Source organism: Homo sapiens, chromosome 6 (assembly GCF_000001405.40).
Source record: "Homo sapiens chromosome 6, GRCh38.p14 Primary Assembly".
Lineage (NCBI taxonomy): Eukaryota > Metazoa > Chordata > Mammalia > Primates > Hominidae > Homo > Homo sapiens.
In genome coordinates, this window is record NC_000006.12 from 130,397,288 (window position 1) to 130,422,121 (window position 24,834).

General features: G+C 37.1%; 1 protein-coding gene across 10 annotated transcripts in view; it reads left to right on the forward strand.

Moving 5' to 3' along the window:
* The window catches only part of TMEM200A (transmembrane protein 200A), a 77,537-nt gene that overhangs the window by 31,757 nt on the left and 20,946 nt on the right, over window positions 1-24,834 (forward strand). The window contains exon 1 of one of the 10 annotated variants that reach the window (NM_001258278.2): window positions 23,805-24,071. The exons of the other annotated variants lie outside the window; for them this stretch is intronic. The gene's annotated coding sequence lies outside the window, so the exon portion shown is untranslated. Of the gene's footprint in view, window positions 1-23,804; window positions 24,072-24,834 lie in introns of those variants that run through there. 10 annotated transcript variants of the gene reach the window in all.

A 24,834-nucleotide genomic window follows, 5' to 3' on the forward strand; every position in this document is an offset into this window, starting at 1 on the left:
TAAACTTAACTAATAATTGCAAATATGAAATTTAAAGTGATTGTACCAATTTGTATCTCCATTAACAAGGATCAGTTTTTTTTGTAACTTAGTCCATTTTTGCTTTCTATATTTTAAACTCATGTTGTTGGATAAACAGATTTAAGATTACTTTATTTTAATGGCAAATTGTTCATTTTGCCATGATGTAAAAATCCTTTTCATCCTTAATAATGTTTTTCCCCCTCTTTGGAGTCTATTTTATATGTTAATGTTGTTATACAAGCTTTCTTTTGGCTAGTATTTGCCTTTTTCCATTCTTTTACTTTGTGTCATTTATGTTTTAAATTTGTGGTTTTTTTTGAAATCCAATCTGAAAATTTCTGGCTTTTATCTGGTAAATTTAGTATGTGTGGTTTTATTATGATTACTGAGGCATTTGGATTTATTTCCACCATCCTATTTTGTTTGTCTTTTCACCAGGCTTTTTATATGTTTATTTATTGCATTGATTACCCTTTCATAGGTTTTCATTTTTTTCCTTCTGTTGCTTTGGAAGGTATACATTTTTATAATAATCATATCCTTTGCAATAATAATAATTTCATAATAATAATTATTTTAAAATATAGTAATATTTTTATTTTAGTGGGTAGCTCTAGATTTTTACATGAATTATTTTTCTTTATAAACGTTTCTTTTTTCTCTCTCAACTTTTATTTTAGGTTCGGGGGTACATTTGTAGGTTTGTTACATGGGTAAATTCCATGTTGCTAAGGTTTGGTGTACAAATGATTCTATCACCCAGGTAGTGATATAGTACCTGATAGGTAGTTTTCCAACCCGTGTTTCCCTCCCACCCTTCTCCATCAAGTAGTCCCCGGTGCCTGTTGTTCCCATATTTGTGTCCATGTGTATTCAATGTTTAGCTCCTGCTTAGAAGTAGGAACATGTGGTTGGTTTTCGATTCCTGTGTAGTTCTCTCAGGTTAATGGCCTCCAGCTGCATCCATGTTATTGCAAAGGACATTATTTAATTTTTGTATGGCTGCATAGTATTCCACAGTGTATATGTACCACATTTTCTTTATCCAGTCTACCACTGATGGGCAACTAGGTTGATTCCATGTCTTTGCTATTGTGAATAGTGCTGTAATGAACATACCAGTGCATGTGGGTTTTTTTTTTGATACAATGATTTCTTTTCCTTTGGGTATACACTCAGTAGAATATACTCAGTATACTCAGATTGCTGGGTTGAATGGTAGTTCTAAGTTATTTGAGGAATCTCCACGCTGCTTTCCACAGTGGCTGAACTAATTTACACTACCACCAGTAGTGTATAACTGTTCCCTTTATTCCACAACCTCACCAACATCTGTTGTTTTAAGACTTTTTAGTAATGGCCATTCTGACTGGTGTGAGATGGTATCTCATTGTGGTTTTGATTCGAATTTCTGTAATGATTAGTGATGATGAGCATTTTTTCATGTATATATTTGTTGACTTCATGTGTGTCTTCTTCTGAGAACTGTCACCATCTAATGATATTATAATATTTTTATAGTAAATTCTTATTGCTATTTAGTGATTAGTTTACCATTTTCTTAGTTCCCAATTGCCTCTCATATCTCATTTTTTTCATTGTCCAATTTCCTTCTACTAAAGTCTATCCTTTAGTAGTTATTTCATAGTAGTTATTTCATTGATGATCCATGAGTGTAAACACAATCTTAGTTTGTCTGAAAATATATTTATTTTTTTCTCCGACTTCAATGATAGTTTAGCTAGTTATGCAGGTATTGTTAATGGTTCCTTTTTCTCAACACCCTGAAGTTCCCACTCCCTTTAACTTCTGACTCTACAATTTCTTATAGAAAGTCTATACTTACTCACATTATTGTTCCTTTGTATTTAACCTTTTTTTGGTTGTTTTCAAGATTTTCTGTTTTTCTTGTGTAATGTTTTACTTCATTGTAAGTAAGTATGCATTTAAAAAAATTCTTCAGAACTTAGTATATTTCTTCAACCTGCTAATTCATGTTTTCCATCAGCTGTGGAAGTTTTCAACCACTATGTCTTTGAATTGCCTGTTTCCCATCCTTTCTACTGATTCCTTCAGGAATTCTTAATAGACCAATTTGGACTTTTTGATTTTAGCTACTGTGTTTTCTAATTCTTTATTCATGGCGTTTTCCTCAGAAGCATCTTTGTACACCACTTTTATCCCTAGCAGTGACTCATCTGTAGCTCAATCCAGCCATTGAGCTTTTAATTTATTATTATATTTTTATTCGACAAATTTTGTTTAAAAACACCATTTCTTTTTTCATAGTATACTATTTTCTACTTATGTTTTCTATTTTTATTTCTTCTTTTATTTATTCCCTATTTATATTCAAATTTATTTATTATTATTATTATTTATTTTTCCATAAGTTATTGGTGTACAGGTGGTATTTGATTACATAAGTAAGTTCTTTATAGTGGTGATTTGTGAGATTTTGGTGCACCCACCACCCAAGCAATATACACTGCACCATATTTGTAGTGTTTTGTCCCTCGCCCCCCTCCTACTCTTCCCCTTAAGTCCCCAGAGTCCATTGTATCATTCTTATGCCTTTGCATCTTCATAGCTTAGCTCCCACATATCAGTGAGAACATACAATGTTTGGTTTTGCATTCCTGAGTTACATCACTTAGAATAATAGTTTCCAATCTCATCCAGGTCATCGCAAATGCTGTTAATGCATTCCTTTTTATGGCTGCATAGTATTCCATCATATATATATACATACACACACATATATATGTATATGTACAGATATACATATATATATATACACACACACACACACCACAGTTTCTTTATCCACTCGTTGATTGATGGGCATTTGGGTTGGTTCCACGATTTTGCAGTTGTGAATTGTGCTGCTGTAAACATGCATGTGCAAGTATATTTTTCGAATAATGACTTCTTTTCCTCTGGGTAGATACCCACTAGTGGGATTGCTGGATCAAATGATAGTTCTACTTTTAGTTCTTGAAGGAATCCCTACACTGCTTTCCATAGTGGCTGTACTAGTTTACATTCCCACCAGCAGTGTAGAATTGTTCCCTGTTCACCACATCCACAGCTCTCTTTTTAGTCACTTTCCTATTTTTTTAATTATCTCCAGTTCTTGGGGTTATGAGTCCTACTGTTTGGAGAATCTCCTGACTCTGTCATAGTGACAGTTTAGCTCCTATGATTTTTTTTTTTTTTAATTGTGAGCTTATCTTTAACTGGCACTGTTTTCATATGTAAGCCCTGAGTTACAGTTGTTTCAATGGACATGTTTATTTCTGCTGGGTTTTGAGGGGTTTCATTAGTCCAAGATTAGTTTTCTTCACTATAATTTTGTGACCTAAGGTTTTTGTACTTCATGGAGAGTTTAACTTGGGTTCTGCCTAGCCACACACTTGGAGCTTTAGGCAAAGATAAGCTTCCTTATTGTTTCACTGAGCCAGTGACTGAAGTTTTCTTGCCTCTTTTTGACATAATTGACTGTCCGGGGCACAGACTCTATTCTAGGGTTCCAAGTCCAACCCCCTGCTTTGTGTTCCTTTTCATCACACCACCTGAACCCACACAGTTGTTACAGAAGCAGACAAACAAATAAATAAACAAAATTTAGTCATTAAGTGATGGACCTTACATCTAGGTCTGAAATTTCCATGAGATGCCTTGACATCAGCTGAAATTTTTCATTCTGACTTTGGGTACCTCTTCATTTCTGGAAATAAATGGGGAGTGGGGATGTCTCTTTTCTTCATCAGAGCTCAGCTATGCATTAACCTTTTTTGTTTTTATAGTTTATTCAGCAATTCTGTGTCTTTCTAGCAAGGAGGTCCATCTTACCTCAGAGTGCCACCTCACTGTATTCAGGTGTCATGTTGATTAATATCTTGCCTTTTCACTTCTTATATGGAAGGCATCTTTTCACAGCAGTAAATTATTATTTTTATTAGCCTCATAGTATTCCATTGTTCAGCTAGACCATAAATTATTAGACTAATCCCTATTACAGATAATTTAGATCCCTTCCTTTCTTCCTTCCTCCCTCCCCCTGCTTGCTTGCTTGCTTCTTTCTTTCTTTTTCTTTCTTTCTCTTTCTTTCTTTCTCTCTTTCCTTCCTTCCTTCCTTCCTTCCTTCTTTCTTTTTCTTGCTTTCTTTTTCTCTCTCTTCCTTTCTCTCTTTCTTTTTTCTTTACTTTTTTGTCTTTTCTTTTGTCTTTTTCACTGTATTAAACAGTGCTGCAACCAGGTATCCTTGTACATATATTTTTGTATACCTGTCAAATAATTTTGTATATTTAATGCCTTCATTGGGTCTATGGTTATATGCATTTTTAAAAATTAAGTATTGCAAGATTGTTTTCCTGAAGGTTTGTACCCATTGTACTTCCACTTCACACTTTTTCCATACTTTGCCATTAGTAGGTCTTTTCAGTTGTTTTAAATGTGTAAATTTGATAGGTAAAAACAGTGGTCTCTCACTTATTTACTTAGTATTTCTTCTTTAATGTTTGTGTGTGTGTGTTTGTGAGCTTTTTTCAGTTTTTCTCTTTTGTAAATTGCCTGTTTATGTCCTATTTTTCCATTTTTCTTAAACCATTGATTTCTAAGAACTCTTTATATGGTAGGGACAGTGTACCTTTGTCTGACATGCAGTTTCTTTCTGTTTGCTGTTTGTGCCCTAATGTTGACTATCGTGGCTTTGCCTTACAGGAGTTTAAAATTTTGTATCTTCATAGCTGCCTTTCTTAAAAAAAAAAAACCTTAAGGCTTTTGGTTTTATTACTATGACTACAAAACTCAAAAGAATGAATTTCTGAATTGCTTTTATGGGAGAAATATCACAATTTGCCATAAGAATAGTTCATATAATAAACAAACAGAGTATTATGGAAAAAAGACATAAAAATGATGAAATGGTGAAAACTTTAAAGTGAAACACAACAAACAATTTCCAAGAAATAAAAACTGAAACACTGTGTCTGCAGGAGAGACAACGCTGTTCATGGAAAATGGGAATCAGTTGAGCAAAAAATACAAAAGGTTGACACTCAGTAGATCTAAATTAAAAACCACAATCAGTTTATCTATTTTTATTACTAACTGGATAAGACCCACAAAGGAACCTTTTATTATGCTTATGAGAATTACTTGGGGTCTCCATCTCAAGATTCCATAATTTGTCTTCTCTTCCAGAACTTGACTCTATCAATTATTCCTGTCTTTCTATACCTTTGATATTTCCCTTTCCTTTTGGTTTCCATTCTTCAGCATATATCATAGCCAAGACTTTTCTTTCTTGCTGTCTACCTATGGAATATACTGCAGACACAAAAGAAGAATATAATGTGTGCAGTTTAAACAACTCATAACAAACTCAAGGAATTTCTATAAATCCTTGGTTTTCAACTTATCTACTTTTACAGAAAGTTGATATACAAAGTTTATTTAAAGTATGTATGTTAGATAAAGTGAAATATCCCTAACCTCTATTAGAAGTTTTATTTATAAATATCCCTATCCTCTATTAGAAATTATATCATGAATAACTTCTTGTCATTGTAAAAATGTAGCCTCTTTATGTTATCTACATGTATGCAAGAGTCCATCTCCATCTCTTTTCTTTATGCCCCCATATCACTTTTAACTGCAATTTCTGCATCTTGCCTCCAGTTACCACTCTCCATCCTCCAAATCCTCAGTGGCATAATTTCATATTGTTTCCATCCCTGGCTGTCCTGCTTCTTTCTTTATATCTCTAAGTGCAGAAACACCAGGTAAAACCACTTGTTTTAGCAGGGAAAAGCATTTGGATAGTAGATGGTCCCTTCCATTCTGAGGGACACCTGTCATTTGACTACATTAATGATCACTAATTACTAAATTGAACTCTTTTGATAAATGTAGCAAGATATTCATAAGAAGCCATTTTATAATTAATTTTGATTACAGTAGATCACAGATTTTCTTTTCAGATGTTCAGACAGAATCTATGACCATAGAAGATAGCACTTTCATACCAAGTAGATTTTAGATACTGTAATAATGAATTCTTCTTAATTATTATTATTTCGATAAACGGTATCCAGAATTAGTTCTTTTTTAACTTTGAGGTATTTTTAACCTGCTGATTCACAATGGTGATTATTTATATAATCAGAACATTATTAGAAGAGGCAGATTATATGCTAAAAATGATAGAATTTTGAATGAAAAATTTATATTTGATAACATGTATTTTTACAGTGAAAAAAGCCTGGATCATCTATAGTTTTTGAGTAAATCCTTCTTATTTCAGGAACTTTGTTTTCATTTTGCTATTTTTTTTTCAACATGACTTACAGCATTTTTAAAACTTTTATTTTAAGTTCAGGGGTACAAGTGCAGGCTTATTACCTAGATAAACTTGTGTCATGCGGGTTTGTTGTACAGATTATTTCATCACCCAGGTATTAAGTCTAGTACCCATTAGTTATTTTTCCTGATTCTCTCCCTTCTCCCACCCTTCAACCTCAAGTAGGCCCCAGTGTGTGTTGTTCCTCTCTATGTGTCCATGTGTTCTCATCATTTAGCTCTCACTTATAAGTGAGAAAATGCGGTATTTGGTTTTATGCTCCTATGTTAGTTTGCTGAGGATAATGGCCTCCAGCTCCACCCATTTCCCTGCAAAGGATGTGATCCTATTCTTTCTTATGACTGCATAGTATTCCATGGTGTAAATGTACCACATTTTCTTTATTCAGTCTATCATTGATGGGCATTTAGGTTGATTCTATGTCTCTGCTATTGTGAATACTGCTGCAATGAACATAATACATGTGCAAGTGTCTTTATAATAGAATGATGTATATTCCTTTGTGTATATAACCAGTAATGGGATTGCTGAGTCCAATGGTATTTCTGCCTTTATGTCTCTGAAGAATTGCCACACTGTCTTCCACAGAGGATGAACTAATTTACATTCCCACCAACAGTGTATAAGTGTTCCTTTTTCTCCACAATCTCTCCAGCATCTGTTATTTTTTGACTTTTTAATGATAGCCATTCTGACTAGTGTGAGATGGTATCTCACTGTGGCTCTGATTTGCATTTCTCTAATGATTAGTGATGATGAGTTTTACATATGCTTGTTGGCTGCATGTATGTCTTATTTTGAAAAATAATATCCTGTTTATGTCCTTTGCACACTTTTTAATGGGGTTGTTTTTCTCTTGTAAATTTAAGTTCCTTATATTTGCTGGATATAAGACCTTTGTCAGATGCATAGTTTGCAAAAATTGTCTTCCATTCTGTAGGTTGCCTGTTCACTCTGATGATAGTTTCTTCTGCTGTGTAGAAGCTCTTTGGTTAAATTAAATACCATTTGTCAATTTTTACTTTAGTTGCAATTGCTTTTGGCGTCTTTGTCATGGAATCTTTGCCCTTACCTATGTCCTGAATGGTTGTCTTCCAGGGTTTTTTATAGTTTTGGGTTTTACATTTAAGTCTTTAATCCATCTTGAGTTAATTTTTGTATATGGTGTAAGGAAGGGGTCCATTTTCAATCTTCTGCATATGACTAGCCGGTTACCCCAGCACCATTTATTGAATAGGGAATCCTTTCCCCATTGTTTTTGTCAGGTTTGTCAAAGATCAAATAGTTATAGTTGTGCGGTTATTTCTGGGATTTCTATTCTGTTCCATTGGTCTTTGTGTCTGTTTTGGTACCAGTACCATGCTGTTTTACTGTAGCCCTGTAGTATAGTTTGAAGTCAGGTAGGGTAGCATGACGCCTCCAGCTTTGCTCTTTTTGCTTAGGATTGCCTTGGCTATTGGAGCTCTTTTTGGTTCCATATGAATTTAAAAATTTTTTTTTCTAGTTCTGTGAAGAATCTCAATGGTAGTTTCATAGGAATAGCATTGAATCTGTAAATTGCTTTGGGCAGTGTGGCCATTTTAATGATATTGATTCTTTCTGTTCATGAGCATGGAATGTTTTTCATTTGTTTGTGTCATCTCTCATTTCTATGAGCAGTGGTTTGTAGTTCTCCTTGTAGAGATCTTTCACCTCCCTAGTTAGCCGTATTCCTGGGTATTTTATTTTTTTTTGTGGCAACTATGAATGGAAATTCATTTTCAGAAACTTTTAAGAATTGCTCTTATCACTTAAATTCGACTACTGCAGCAGTTTCATTTTGGTCTCTTCTTACAGTTCACTTTCCATTAGTTGACTTTGCATCATGGTAGGAGAATCATTCTAACTGAGAATGAGGAATCATGCATTTTCATATTCCTGGGAACTCTCACTTTCCTCTGGGAACTGGGTTGCTCAGTGCTCCTGGAGAAAATCGTGCAATTTAGTGGGTTATTGTCATTACACAGTCATGGTTTCCAGCTCCTATGTGCTTTCAGCACTGCTCAGCAGCCCTCTTGTGCACACCTGGTGTGTCCTCTCCCTATGCTGGTTCTCATTGCCCTCCCCAGGCTTCCTGACCCACTGCTAGCTTGCGGTAGATGGGCTGCTTCCTAATCCAGATGATAGACACTGCACATGCTTAACACTTCACTGGCAGGTTGCTTCTTCATGTCTTGAGTGGACACATATGACCCTGCCCATGTTTGACTAGGTTTTGACTTGCAAAACCAGCAATTTCATCTACTTCAGACTAATGCAAGCTTATCCTCACCCTCTATCATTCCCTGGCTTCTGGGAATAGATGATCCTCTTCTCCAAAGTTAATGCATTCTTTAGGAAGGAGCTCATACATCATTTCTCCTCCAGGATTTGTCTCCATCAGATCCTTGTCTTTTCATATATTCAATATCTAACTTTTCCTCTTGGCTCCTTTCCGTTTACATATATAGCCGAGTTTTTTTCTGTCTAATTTCTATTTGATTTTTAAAAATATATAGAATATACTACATGCACAAAGGAGAAATATAAAATATATGTGCAGCTTAAAGAGTAATACTTAGAAAAACACTATCCAGCTTAAGACTAGACCCTTTTAAATATATCTGTAGCCCTTGTGTGCTCTGATCCCTCCTCCCACATTCCCCTAAACAATATCTTGGATTTTATGTTGATTCCCCCTTGCATTTCTTTATAGTTTAGTCACGTGTATGCATCCCTTAAAAACCTTGTTTAGTCTCACATATTTTTAAATATAAATGAAATCTAAATATATATAGTCTTCTGAAACTAGCTCTTCCACTCTCTGTTGTGTTTGTGAGATTAATCTATGTTATGTTAATACATGTGACAGTAGTTTTCTCTTATCCGGTTCCCATTTTCCAGGTGCATTGCTGTAGACTCTATACCTGATAAATAATGTCCTGAATTGCAAATGAAAGAACTTTACTTCTCAGTCTTACAGCCTGGAAATAGTTTGGTTTGACTTTGTCAGCCTTGTCAGAAGCAGTTCTTCTGTCTTAAACAGAAGCCCAGTCCTCTCTCCTTAATTTGTACCCATCTCTAACTAATGCTCTCTTTTCCTTTAAGACTCAAATCTTAGCAAGAGTAGTTCATACTCACTGTCTTTATGTCTTAGCCTCCCATCTGGGCCTTGTTTGATCTCTTGATGGCTGATCTCTCCACGTTTTTTAAACTTTCTCCTTTCGTTTCCTGAACAAAGCTCATGACAGGCTATTTTTTCCTCTCTGCTAAATGTTAAATGTAAACCTTAAAGAGTTTATAATCTAGTTTTCTTGGTTTTGAGCGCATTGTACCTGATTTTAGTGTAGTTTTCCTTTTATTTTCATACGGGGAGAGTGAAGCCTCCATTACATAATGTGAAAGGCGCTTGGAATTATAATTGTATTCTGGAAGTCTTGTGGTGCTGTATTAAGCCTATGTGAATGAGGGGGTGAGGGGAGGCAGAGAAGCTTGACTCTGCATCTGAAAATGCTTAAATGTATTTTAAGTACCATCTGAAATACAGTGACAGAAGCAAAATTAATTGGATGAAATCTAACCTAATGTTTTATTTAGGGATTTGGTTCATCTTGGAATGTGGTTTGGGCATCAAGATTGTGAAATATCACACTTGCATGACAACAGGGTTAGTAGTTTCTTCTCATTTGCACAAGGAGCTTGCTACAGTAGGATTGTTAATGGTCGGGAGGTATATTTTGTCTGCATTTACAGACTTTAGCAAGGAGATGATTTAAATAACCATCTAGATAATTCAAAACCAAAACCTTTGTTGCCTCAATTAGCACTCTTTGGAGGAATTATCTCAATAATCATTTACTCATGTACTTTTACACAGGTGTGTCCACGGAGATACTTGATTTGGTCAATATCATAAATGCTTACTATGTTTAAAACACTGACAGGTGCTGCAAGACATGTAGAGATGAGTAAGAGCCAAGAAGCTCCGAGGTGCCTCTAATGTGAAGGGGAAAAAACTAAGCAGACAAATGATTTATATTGCAAATCAGACTACAAATAACATTTTAGAAACAGAAAAGTTATATAAAGGGTCATAGGAAGGGAGCCTGACTCTCACAAACTTTGAAATTTATTCTCCTTAGAAGTAGATTTAAGAGGCTACATCTCAGACCTGATCTCTGAATTTTACGTCTGCTATCCTTTTTATTTTTATGTAACAAGTATATTGATGTATTATTTACATATCATCTATATGGTTATATTTGTAGTAAATGCCATTCATTCATCAAACCTATTTTGAGCACTTACTATGCTCCACCTGCAAAATGTGGGGCATGCAAAGGTTGGTAAAGCACGGTCAAGGAGTTTGGAGCAGTCTGGAGGCAGATATGGAAACAGTATTCCCAGGATAGTAATAAAAGTGCCCCGTAGTGCACAATACTGTAGTGGCCCAAAGGAAGGAGTTATGAAACCTGATGGATTGGGCAGAGCAGACTGTAGAGGCTTCGAAACCCAATGAGGGTCTTGAAGGATGGATAGGAATTTACCAGAAGGATCAGGAGGGAGCATTCTGGGTTTTCTGCCCAGGTAGGCACTTTCCCAGATATTTTCCTCCAACTACACTTGAGGCCAGAGAAAGTCTATGATAAACCTCTTCCCAGACCCTCTGAGTATTTGAGACACTGCTTTTGTCTCTAGCCTCCATCCTCTGACCCTGACCTGTTCCTTATCTACTTTCCAAAATCTCTGGATGGCCCCAGAGGCCTGAATGGATTTGGCATGTGTTGCATCTTAGACAGGGTTGGGGAATCAGATATAGACAAAGAAAGGAGCATTTGAAAGGTCAAGGGAACAAAGAGGACATGAGACATGTGGGGTGGGCATGAGGAAATATCTGTGGCTTGAGTGTGGGTAGTAGGGTGCTTATGGAGAAGAGGTAGGAAATGGAGTTGACCAGAAAAGCAGGGTCCAGATTCTGAAAGACCATGTGTTTTGTGGAGGGGTTTGGGTATTATGATGTGGGTCACAGAGAAGTTTGACAGGCTTTCAAGTAGTAGAATGATATGAAAAGACCTGTGTAGTATATGCATACTGTTTTTCTAGTTTGGTTGTTTCTGCATTGACACCATTGATGAGGGTGCCACTCAGATCTCCCTTTAGGGGAGACCTGCCATAGGAGTAGTTGGCCAACAGCCTGTAGGTGCCACATCTGATCCACTGCAGCATTCACACAGGACCACCACCCCCTCCCTGACCCTGGGATATTCCCAGACAGTGACTGAGCATGGTGAGATATGAACGCCAGGCCAGCTCTGTCTCACATGGCACTCCTCTAATGGGCAGTCCTTGTTTGATACTTTCTCAGAGCCACATGCATCTGAATCTCCTCCTACTCATTCCTGCTTTCTTTCCTTCCTTTCGTTGCTTCCAAGGCTTCATGGTGGTCTAAGGTTTTCTCTACCTTTTCCTGCACCCTCTTTTCTTTATCTGTCACAGGTGTTTTCCCCAATAATCATTTCTAATTCTCTTGACATCTGCTTCCCATTGGACATGAACTGACCCATGATACCTCAAAGCCTATTTTTAAATTTCATTATTTATCTTTAAGTGGTTATTTATGTTTTACCCTTTGAATGAGCATGCCTCCCTTTATATGAAATAAACTTTATAAAATGAAGTCAGAAATAATCTCAAATACCTGGTCTCAGGACAGATTGGACCTCTGGGCCATGCCAGGCTGCTCTACACAAGTTTGTCTCTGCAACTATGTGGGATCTGACAGGCTTCCAGGGACCAGTGAGGAGGTGCCAGCCTTTGCTTAATTCTGCTTAGTGATCTATTTCCCACATTCTATCTGTGACAGAATTGGCTCCAATTCAAAGATTTGATGGACAGGTAATGCTTCAGATAGATAGGATTTTTTTTCCTGACTGTCATTCTTATAATACAAAGTATTTTGATGTCTCATGACTAGCAGGTGGTTAGACAAAAGAAGAGGATAATTCGGTGTCTTAAAAGCCAGTGACCTAGAATTTGGGAGGCCAGCATTAATTATAGTGAATCTCAGTATGATTTTTGAGGCAGTTATTCTCTATGGAATAATATGGCCTTATGTATGAAAGGCACTTCCTTTCTGTCTCTCAGTTTTTTTTTTTTAATGAAAACTCACTGTTTAAGTAAAAACAATGAATCACGTTCTTGAAGTATGTTGCAATCTTTAAATATCAGAAAAGTATGAGAAGTTAATTTTTAGTTTTTAGAAGATCTATGGTATTTATTGCAGTTTGTATGACTCTAACAGCAAAATTGCACACTACTCTAACAGCAACATTGCACACTACATTTCTTTAAAATAAAATGCTGGATTGAATATCATATATTTTGAAACTAAAGTGAATGTGTTTAAGTTATGGAATTGAGCCTTAACTTATCTCCTAGGTAGACTTTTGGGTGTTCCTGTGATCAGAGTTTCTTTGTGAGTTTTCTGTGAGTGGGAATTCCCTGTGTGGTCTGGCTGATTTAGGAAGGGGCTGAAGACCAACCTCATCGCTTTGGCTTCACTGCTTTGCTCTCATCTTACATATTAGAAACTCTTCAGTAAGAGACAACTAAAGGGCCAATGAAATTCAGATGGACTCAAAATCTCTGGAGTGATACAAGAGCTTTTAACATTAACTTTTTCATTTTTAAATGAAATGTCTAAATCCAGATGATTTCATGGTAATTGTGGGCATTTTCTAGACAGTTTTTATTTTAAGGGAATATATAGCAGTTGCTTAAATGGAAAAAGAACCATGTAAAGAAAAACCTCATATTTCTCTGAAATTGTCCAGTAGTGCTACAAGTCTTTTTGGTGAAAAGATTTCATATGGTATCATAATTTTGTAGTATTTAGAACCCATGTACAAAAATGAGTCATTGCTCCTGTTGAGTGTGGCAGATCCGTTGTTTCAACAAAGCTAAGTGATAATCAGAAAACATGACAAGAATTAGCACTTCAAAAGCCCAAGTGAAATGTTAATGAACTTATGTTTTAATTCTGATAAGATTGGATTTAGGGGCATGACCTTCTTTATTTAATTAAGAATAAGTTGTCAGTGTTATCATAGCTCTAGGAAAGCCACAGTAGACTCTAGACTTGGCTATTGTAGGGAGACTGCAATGCCTTTAGTAGAAGTTTTGGAAAATCAGGCCAGGTGCAGTGGCTCACGCCTATAATCCCAGCACTTTGGGATGCTGAGGCAAGTGGATCACCTGAGGTCAGGAGTTTGAGACCAGCCAGGTCAACATGGTGAAACCCTGTCTCTACTAAAAATACAAAAATTAGCCAGGCATGGTGATGCATGCTTGTAATCCCATCTACTCGGAAGGCTGGGGCAGGGGAATTGCTTGAACCTGGGAGGCAGAGGTTGCAGTGAGCCGAGATTGTGCCATTGCATTCCAGCTTGGGCGAGGAGTGAAACTCCATCTCAAAAAAAAAAAAAATCAATATGGCATCTTACATTGACGCTTGAGATTTGTTTTAAACCAGTAGTTGACTGTGTTGGGATGAATGTCTTAGCTTATGGGGTGCTAAGACAAATAAATGCCATTTTTAAAAGAGTTTTTTTTAAATTTTATAATTACAGAAATTTTGCAAGTACAGTACAAAAAGCTGTTTTCCTAAAACACTTGAAAGTAACTTGCTCTCACCTCCAGGTACCTTAGTGTGCATTTCTTACAAAGACATTCTTTACATAACTACAACATAACCTTCAAATTCAAAGCACTAACATTGGTATATTACTACCACAGAATTCTCAGATCCCACTTCAGTTTTGCCAGTTTTCCAGTAATGCCTTTTATAGCAGAAGGATCCAATCCAAAATCATGTGTTGAATTTAGTGGTTGTATCTCTTTACTCTGCTTCAATCTGGAATGTTTCTTCGGTATTTGCTTGACTTTCATAAACTGGAAGGGCCAGTTATTTCATAGAGTGTCTCCTAAGGTTGGTTTGTTTGGTGCTTGCTTGTTGTTAGATTCAGGTTTGGCAGGATTATCACAGAAGTCGTGCTGTCTTCTCATTGTGTTGGTTACTGCATTTCAGTTTGTCCCATGATAATGATGTTCACTTTGGTCACTTGATTAGGCATGCCTGCCACTGTAAAACTGCATGATATTTTCCATTTTTAATTACTGTTTTTTGTAAGGGGGTACATCAAATGTATGTAAATATCTTGTTCCTTATTAAAGTATCAATGTATACGTTTGTTTGTTTATATTATTATGGTCTTGTAGTTTAGTAGGTTAAAATCTGACACTATCATTATTTCTTTTGATGCTCAATTATCCCATATTTGACCAGTGGAAGCTCATTCAAGCCTTTTTGACATACCCCATCATTTGTTGAACGTTTCCTTGGCTTTTTTTTTTTTTTGGCACTAATCGTTGTGAGCTCATCTTGTCCTTTTCCTGCTCTAGCTCTGAAATTAGCTACTTCTCCCAGAAGCCTGATTTTTTTTTTTTTTCTTTTTAGTGGAAAATGGTATTTAGAAACCAAGGTCTGAATGATGGGTGTGCTTATTGCTATCTGGGTATTGCCGCCACTCACAGGCCCTCTCTGTGTAAACAGTCTCTCATCCCTGCAGCCCTTGCCTCACTCTGCCCCACAGGGACTCCTGCCTCTCACTGTCAGTGCTGATTCCCTGCGTGGCTGTGCTCTGCATTGCCACTCCTCATCCACCTTGCCCCTCCCACAGGGAGTCCCATCTCAGCTCTCTCAGATTCTAACACCTTGTGCTGGCCCACAGCCCCATATGAAGTGCTCCTCTCTTGGCTTGGGCTCTGAAACTCTGTGCCTAGACACCCCCACTCCCCTTCCTGTGGAGACACCCTCTTTACCCAGCTCAGACTTGAATACCCCACTAGGGCTACCACCCCTTTGAGTGACTATCCTTCTCATGCTAGCCAAGCCCTAGCACCCCACTTTTGGTCACCAGGAATCCTCTGCTGTGCTGTGGATTCCTGCTGTCTTCACCCCCTTCGAATGCTTTAGGGATGAACTGTTGCTCAATGCTAGTTTGGAAGGTTGACTTAGGAGTTACCTAATGGTTTGCCAAACACAAAACATCTGTGGTCATATTCTGAAACCAAGATTCTGGAACACATAATTGAAGAGAAATTATTTCTTAAATGTCCTCATATCAATTTATTTTTTAATGTGAAGATACATATTTTAATAAGGCAAAACTTTGATGTCTGATTAATTCTGCATTCAGTGAGAAATGAATGTATATTTATAACATATCTTCTGTAAAATATGTATGTACAATAAATTACTTAGGAGTAAGTTGTCTTCAGAGGATTTTGTGTCCAAAGTAATTCATGATGGAAACTTCAGAATCAAGTACCAGCAGTTTCTCATTTACCTTGCATCATATCTGTGGTCTTTTAAACAGAACAAAAGTGTAAGGTTGCTCTCATTCTACACATGGAATCTATACTGATAATCCCAAGTTTGTATTCTAGCCCAGATCTTGCCCCTGGAACTGGCTGTGAAGCCCTCTACTTTGGATTTCTCTTTTATCTCAATTGTGTTGTGTTAAAACTTTGTCATTGAGATGCCTGTGAGATATCAAAACAGATGTCAAGTAGGCATCCCCGGGCTTCATGCACCTGTAGCCAGTGTCTGTGTGACATCTGCATTTTGATGTCTCACAGGCATTTCAGACTCGCATGCCCACTCCTGAACTCATGATTCCCAATACTGACTGCTCTCCTCAGGCCAAATCTTCTTCCTACGCTCAGTCTTCCCTATGTCAATAAATGGCACAGCCATCCCCCCCACTAGAGATCTGGAAATTCCCTTGATTCTTGTCCTTTCACCCGCCATGTGGTGCGTCCTGTCTTCTGTTCCTTTCAGCATCTCCTATCACAACCCTAGTCCAAGCCACCAACATCCTTCACCTGGTCTACTTCTTGCTTCCATTCTTGCCACTTTGGGAATAATTATCCTCACAGCTGCCAAAGTGATATCTGCATATCAGATTGTGTCACAATCCAGCTTAAACACACTTAACAAACCACACACTTTTTATCTAGGCTGCATGACCAGCCCCTTGTCCATCTCTGCCTCAGCCACTTTGGCCCTCTTTCTGTTCCCAGAACATATCAAACTTTTTGCTGCTTTAGAGCTTTTGAACGTTATGTGCTTAGAATATCATTATCTTCCCTCTTCCAAATAGGAGTTTTAAATTCTCACACTAGAATTAAAAGCTAACTGATGTATATGATTTGGGGACTAATTTCTGTTAGAGTATTATTTATTTTTTACTTGAAGGAGAATCTCTTTGGCAATATGGAATAATTGTTAAACTTAATTTACTATTAAGAAAACAACAAAACCTGCTTCTCACTGTTCTCAAAAGTCTTAATAAAAATGAATGTAATTATGACATTAAAAAATATAAAAAGAGGCCAGCCATGGTGGCTCACACCTGTAATCCCAGCACTTTAGGAGCCTGAAGTGTGTGGATCACTTGAGGTCAGGAGTTTGAGACCAGCCTGGCCAACATGGTGAAACCCCATCTCTACTAAAAATACAAAAATTAGCTGGGTGTGGTGTTGGGCGCCTGTAATCCCAGCTACTAGGGAGGCCGAGGCAGGAGAATCACTTGAACCCAGGAGGTGGAGGTTGCAGTAAGCTGAGATCGCGCTGCTGCACTCCAGCCTGGGTGACAGAGCAAGACTCCATCTCAAAAAAAAAAAAAAAAAAAAGCTGCAATATCTAGAAAATATTAGGTATATGAAACACTTTAAAACCCTGGAAGAAGAGGGAACCTAAAGTGTTGTTACCACCAAATTATTACTAGTTTAATTTTCAAATGACTCATTCTAGTAAAGATGAATTTTCATTAAGAGTGCTTGTAAATACTGTAATAATTTGTCACATATCTATAATTCAGTACAAGAATATATGCATGGTCTCTCTTGAAATTCACAACCTCGTGAGCACAGAATAGTTCAATGACTCCTGTAACATCATTTGGCCAAGTCCAGTTCTCTGGATTCCACCTTCATTCAATAAATGTCATTTGAAGCATACTATGTGTCAGGCACTATGCTAGGAACTTGTGAACAAAATGTTCCCTTTATAATCTAGTGGAGGAGACACATCATAAACAGGTAAACCAGCAAATACATATGTATGGTTTGAGGGCTGTTTTTCTTTGCTCAGCACAGACTGTTTTTATGGGGCCAGCACCATACTGAACTTCCAAACCCACCTTTGGATATGAAATATAAAGGAAAGGAAGAGTCAGAGGCTCCTTAGCATATTCATTCATAGGACGTCAAGTATTTGGTTCAGCATGAAATATTTTATTGTTTTGTAGATAATCTACCCCCTAGGGACTGAAAGCTCATCCCTACCACCCTATGTGGAATGCAATTCAATGGAATGGAAGGACTTGCAGAATTATCCTCAAGGGAAGCAGAAGGAAAGGGGTTACTCTGAGGAACAGAGGGCAAGCAGGGAGTTAGGGACCATTAGGGGCTGGAAAGAAGAAAGGTTTGACCTCAAAGAGAGGGTTTTTCTTTTCCTAGTGAGCACATAATAAGGTACTAAGGACTGGGGGATTTGGGAGAATGAGCAGAAGGTTCCTGTGTACCCTGTGAGACTAAAAGATAAAATTCAAACCTGGAGGGATGCATCCTTTAATATGTTCTCCTCACTTTCGTGTGCTTGACTTGCCAATAACAAGCTTCATTATTAACGAATTGCACCATTCCTTGGTGAAGAAATCAGCTCTATATAATGAAAACAAAACTATTTACCAGTACTTAGAGAAAGAGCTGAAGTCTCCGTAACATGGCAGATCCTTACATTTTGAAAGGATGTGGGGGTCTCTTTGAGCCCTACTTTCGTCGTTTACTAAATTACGAGAAATCTATCCACCCCTCCCATGCTCACGAGATATCCTTCCTCTACCCACATGTCATGAAACCCTCCTTTTCCTGCTGCCACTAGACAGTTATTGAAGGGTGTCTGAGGTTGCGCCCAAACCTAAAAGAAAAATCTGTGATATGATGTGTAGCTGAATTATTGTGCTATGTGTATGTAAGGAAGTGTCACAGTATGCAAGCATTATTAGTGAAAATTCATTATCTGTGTTGAAACAAGTCATTTGAAAATCAAACTAGTAATAATTTGGTAACAATGATACTTTGAATTCTTCTTTCAGGGTTTCAAAGTGTTTTATATACCAAATATTTTCTAAATATTGTGGCTTTTTTTCTTTTTATCATTAAAATGATAATAAAAATCAATGTAATTATGACATTTAAGATTTTTTATTTTGGAAGCAGTTGGACGCAGGCTTTTTCTTGTTGTTTTCTTAATAGTATATTGAATTTAACAATTACTTTATACTAAATGCTACCACAGTTCTTCATTATCAAATAAATGATGCTGTAAGAGAACAGAAATTAGTACTAAATTATACTCATCAGCCAGCATTTGATTCTAGTGTGAAGATTCAGAGATTGTATTTCACTAAGAAAAACATTATTATGATTCATAGTCACTAAGCCTCATGCTTATTAGTGGATTAAATTTTTAGTTTTGATTATAGGATGGATTTCTCTCTCTCTGTCTCTCTCTCTGTGTGTGTGTGTGTGTCTATACATATAGTCAATTAACAGCAAGTCTCTAGGAATGTAAGAACCAATAACATATTCAAAACTAAACTCTTTCTTCAAACAGCTTCTTTTCATTTGTTCTTATTACAGTAAAAGGTGCCATCATCCATCCAATTGCTCAAGCCAGCAACTGGGCATCATCTTGATAGCTGCTCATCTTTACTGCCCACACCCAGTGTCAAGGTCTTCGTATTCTGTCTTCTAAATAGCTGTCTGTTCTGTCTACTCTGTTCACCCTAGTGACTGCCACCCTGGTTCAAGCTGCTATCATCTCTTTCCTGAGTTACTGTAGGGGCTTCTTAAATGGCCTTCCTACATCTATTTTTTGCCCCTTTCCATACAGCAGCATGAATATTATAAAAATGCAAATCTGATCCTCTTCTATCTCTGCTAGAAGAGATCATCATGGTGTCTCCTAAGATAGAGTTCAGACTCCTTAATATGATCTATGAAATCTCAGATGGTCTTGCCCTGCTATCTTTTCACTCACCTGCCTGCCCAAGCCACATTGTTTTTCATTCATTTCTTTGAAACCAGGTACTCCAGTATTTGAGACTTGGCACATGCTAGTCTTCCCTTCCTTCCCTGCACTATCTCAGTTTCAAGTCACTTCCTCAAACTGCCTTCTAAAACCTTCCAGACTAAGATTGCCCACCTTGATATTCACTTCCATACCATGCTACATTTTCTCTTTTTAATACATATCATATGTATAATTGTTTGTTTAATTTCTGCCTTTCCACTCAAGATTTAGATCTAAGAAGGTGAGGATCAAGTCTGAGTTGTTCATCATTTTATCCCTGGGCCCCTGGCAGAGTGATTGACACATAGTAGATGCTAATTAAATATTTGTTAGATGAATGAAAATAAATAAATGCAACAAATGAGTGAGTGTATGAAAGACTGATTTGAATGTCACTCAAACACTTTTGGTGTTGAATTATTCTGACAATCTGAGTTTGAAAAAAATAAAATTATGAAAATTTGAGCACAAATGGGTGGTGCTTTTTAAAAGTTAGTTTGAAAATATCAACAGCTTTATCTACCCAGGTTGAAGTTGATTTAGCAACATGTAAGTGTGTATAGAAAGAATCTTTTAGGTGGAGAAATTTAAATATACTGGCAAGCCCTGAACAAGTGGAAAGGATTCTTTATGAATTCTTTGTATTATATGGAAGGTAAAATCTAGAACAGATTTTTCCTCTACTCAAAGGCTACAACATATCTAACAAACAACTCTTTAACCATTTAAAGGCTATCCAGTATCATAACTTTACACTTTATGGACCTTTGCTTATTAAGGATGAAGCAAAACCAGGAAGTAGACATACACACACAAAATTTTAAAAACTCCAAAGTCATTTCTCATTCTTGATCATATGTAGATGAACTTCTTAAGGAAAGACCTTGGCTTTTCGTTTTCAGAGTATTGCACAAAACCTTGTCCTGGTTGATATTCATAATCAAACAAGTCAAATAGTTGTCATAAACTCCAACGCATATGTATACTCAAAGTCTTCACTCCAACTTCGCTTGCTCTTAATTTGCACACATCCATAAGCCTGTTTACTTTGTTATCTCATTTCCAGGGCCACAGCAAATTAAAACCCTTGGTCATGAATTGGGCAGGAAAAGACAGTTGCAGTATTGGCCTAGTGTCCATCTCTTCCTCCTCCAGACTCCTGCAGACCTTCACTAGTGTGAGCACACTAACCACATTCACCTCTTGGCATGATTATGCTTTAAAAAGTCATTTCTCATTCTTGATCATATATAGATAAGCTTCTTAAGGAAAGACTGGCTTTTCACACAGCTGTCAGAGGATTGCACAAAACCATGTCCTGGTTGATATTCATAATCAAAACACACCAAAACAACTCTGAGTCATCAAAAGAAAATCAAATGATGTTTAATATTGTTTGAGGAGACAAGAATGAAGTAGTATTATTTCCATCACAAATAATGAAAGTAAAAAGCTTTTATTCTAAAGAGATGAATACAAAATTATTGCTTTTTTCTAGAGCCACTCATGAACCAGAGAGTGTCCCAGAGCTCAAATTTTATGATTTACTACTTCTAATTCTTAGATGTATGATTTGCAAACCTTTAAAATTCAGTCTAGTTCATAGCAACCTGTGAGGAAGGGAGGATAAATATTCCCACTTTACGAATAAAAACCTGAAGTCATTGCTTAAATTATTACCTCAAGGTTATTGCTATTAAGGGTGGAGTTGAGATGAGAACTTTTAGTTGGCTTAGAGTACATTTAGTCATGACAGCAATGTAGCATTGTGATAAAATCACAGGCTTTAGAGTCAGAAAGATCTGGGTTTGGGTCCTTCCTTTGGTCACACAGTCACAGTGGGCAATATGCTTAACCTCTTTAGATAAGGGCAATTTCTTTTTATAAAATTAATATATAATATTTTACATATTTCTGGGGTACATGTGATATTTTGTTATGCATAGAATGTGTAATGGTCAACTCAGAATATTTAGGGTATCCACCACCTCAAATTTTTCTCATTTGTATGTATTGGGAACATATCGAGTCCTCTCTTCTAGCTATTTTGAAATGTACGATACGTTGTTGTTAACTATAGCTGCCCTACTCTGCTATTGAACATGAGAACTTATTTCTTCTATCTAACTGTATGTTTATACCCATTAACCAACACTTCTACATACCACCACTCCCCCTCAGTCTCTTCCTAGCCTCTGGAATCCACCATCCTAGTCTCTACCTCTGTGAGATCCAATTTTTTAGCTCCCACATATGAGTGATAGCATGCAATATTTGTCTTTCTGTGCCAGACTTATTTCGCTTAACATAATGACCTCCAGTCCCATTCATGTTGCTGCAGATGACATGGTTTTACTATTTTTTGTGGCCAAATAGTATTCCATTGTGTGTATATACCATGTTTTCCTTATCCATTCATCTGTGGATGGACAGTTAGGTGGATTCCATATCTTTGCTATTGTGAATAGTGCTGCAATAAACATGGGAGTACAGGCATCTTTTTGATATACTAATTTCTTTTCCTTTGGATCAATAACCAGTAGTGGGATTGCTGGATCATATGGTATTTCTATTTTTATGTTTTTGAGAAATGTCCATACTGTTTCGCATAGTGGATGTACTAATTTACATTCTTACTGACAGTGTATAGGACTTCCCTTTTCTGTGCAGCCTCTCCAGCATTCATTATTTTTTGTCTAGATGTGGGCAATTTCTGATCAATTATTAGTCATGTGATACAAACACATATCAATGTGGCAAAGTATGAACTAGAGCTGCAAGAGGGAATCTTTGTGGAATCAAGTAATTGAATTTCCTTTGGCTCCTGACACCAGAGCATCAGGAATTAAACCAAAAACATTTACTCAGTGACACCACTTGTCTTAGTCTGTTCTTGCTCCTATAACAAAATACCACAGACTAATTTATGAACAACAGAAATTTATTTTTCTTAGCTCTGGAGGCTGGGAGACTCCAAGATCAAGGCCAGCAGTTTCAGTGTCTGGTGAAAGCTGCTCTCAGCTTCCAAGATGGTGCCACACATGGTGGAAGGTGGTGCTACACATGGTGGAAGGTAGAAAGGCAAAAGGGATGAAGGCTATATGAAGCTTCTTTTATAAGGACATTAATCCTCTCCATGAAAGTGGAGCCCTCATGATCTAATCACCTCCTAAAGGCCTCACTTCTTAGCATTATCACATTGGTCATTAACTTTCAACATATGAATTTGAATTTTGGTGGAGGGGACACATTCAGACTATAGCACCACCTCTCTGTATTTTAGTAAGTTGTTTTAATCTCTCTTTTATTTCTTTATATATAACATTGGAATAATACTAATACCTACTTGTATCAGTCAGAATAGGTTATGTGCAGTAAAAACAACCCCTAAATATCAGTATTTAAAACAACAAAGGTGAATTTCTCACTTACTCATGTCCATTGTGATTTGGCCAGTCCCTCTTCCACATCATCCTTACCTGAGAACTTGAGTTGATTGACCCATTGCTATCTGGAAGGTTGTTGGTCACCATGGCAAGGGGAAGGGATCATGTCATGTCACACACTAGCTCTTAAAGTTTTTCACCAGGAAGAGAGGAACATCTCTCCACTCACATTTTTCTGACCAAAGTAAGTCACCTCTCTATGCCTAACTTCATGGAGTTGGGAAATTGCAATTAAACAATGGACCTCCGGGAATATGTGACTTCAGTTGGCACTTTCATCTTAAATATATTATTCTGGCCTGTGAGCTCCTCTGGAGTAAAGATTCTGACATTCTTCAGCCTCGGGTCCTTAGCTCCCAGCAATGTCTTCAAGTAACAGTGAGTGAAGAACAGACTGAGTGAACAACAAAAAACGTTGTCCCATTTAAAGGAATTCTAGGTATAGGGAGAGCACAAGGGGACGTTTTCTCAGTGCAGGGCCCGCTGAAATCCCACGCTTGTTGTCTTTCCCTTCCTACTCATTTCTTCTTCCATCCTTCATGGCCAGGCTGTGACCACTGGGCAAGCACCAAGGAGTCTCCCTGATCCTAGAGGACATGCTGGAGACTGCTGCCTCAAGTCATGTTTCTCTAGTAACAGCATTCCTTTCCCCACCTCCTTCCACCTTCCAAAAAGAATCTTTCTTGTTTTAGAAAGTCCCCTCCCCTTCTGTTTCATCTGAGTAGAGGCTGCATCTGTGCCAGAAATTCTTTCAGCTCAGTGGCTCTCAAACCTCAGCAGGCATCAGAATCACCTGGAGGACTTATGAAACCAGTTTGCTGGGCCCGCTTGGTCCAGCGCTTCTGATTCAGTAGGGAGAAGTGGAACCATGAATTTGCATTCCCGACAAGCTCACAGGTTATACCAGTGTTGCTGGCCCGAGGATTGTATTTTGGGCAGCATTACTCCATCTGAACTCTTCTTGTTCTCTTACCTCCTTACGTCCCAAGACTCGCGGATGTTAGTTTATTCTCAGGTACTGGTTTTACTTAGATTTTTTTGTTTGTTTTTTAAATTGAAATTGTATGTATTTAAGGTGCATAACATGATGTTTTGATATACATATACACAGTAAACTGATTACTATAGTCAAGCTAATTAACACATCCATTCCTTCACAGTTACCTTTGTGTGTGTGTGTGTGTGTGTGTGTGCATGCGTACATGTTAAGAACACTTAAGATCTACTCTTAGCAAATTTTAAATATGTAACATAGTATTTTTAACTCTATGTAGTCCCTTGGTGTACATTACATCTCTAGAACTTACTCATCTTAACGTAACTAAGACTTTGTACCCTTTGACCATCTCCCATTCCTCCCTTCACCCCTGGTCACCACCATTCTACTCTCTGCTTCTATGAACTTGATGTTTTTAGATTCCATGTAAGTGAGATCATACAGTATTTTTCTTTTTGTCTGGCTTATTTCACTTAACATAATGTCTTCCAGATTGACTCATGTTGCCACAAATGGGAGGCTTGCTTTCTTTTTAAAAGCTAAGTAATGTTTTATTGTGTGGGTGTGTGTATATATGTATATATACATGTTTATCACATTTTCTTTATTCATGTGTCACTGGACATTTAGGTTGATTCTATATATCTTGGCTATTGTGAATAATGCAGCAATGAAAATGGGATTGCAGATATCTCTTCAACATACTGATTTTATTTCTTCGGATAAATACACAGAAGAGAGATTGCTGGATCGTATGGTAGTCCTGTTTTTGATTGTTTGA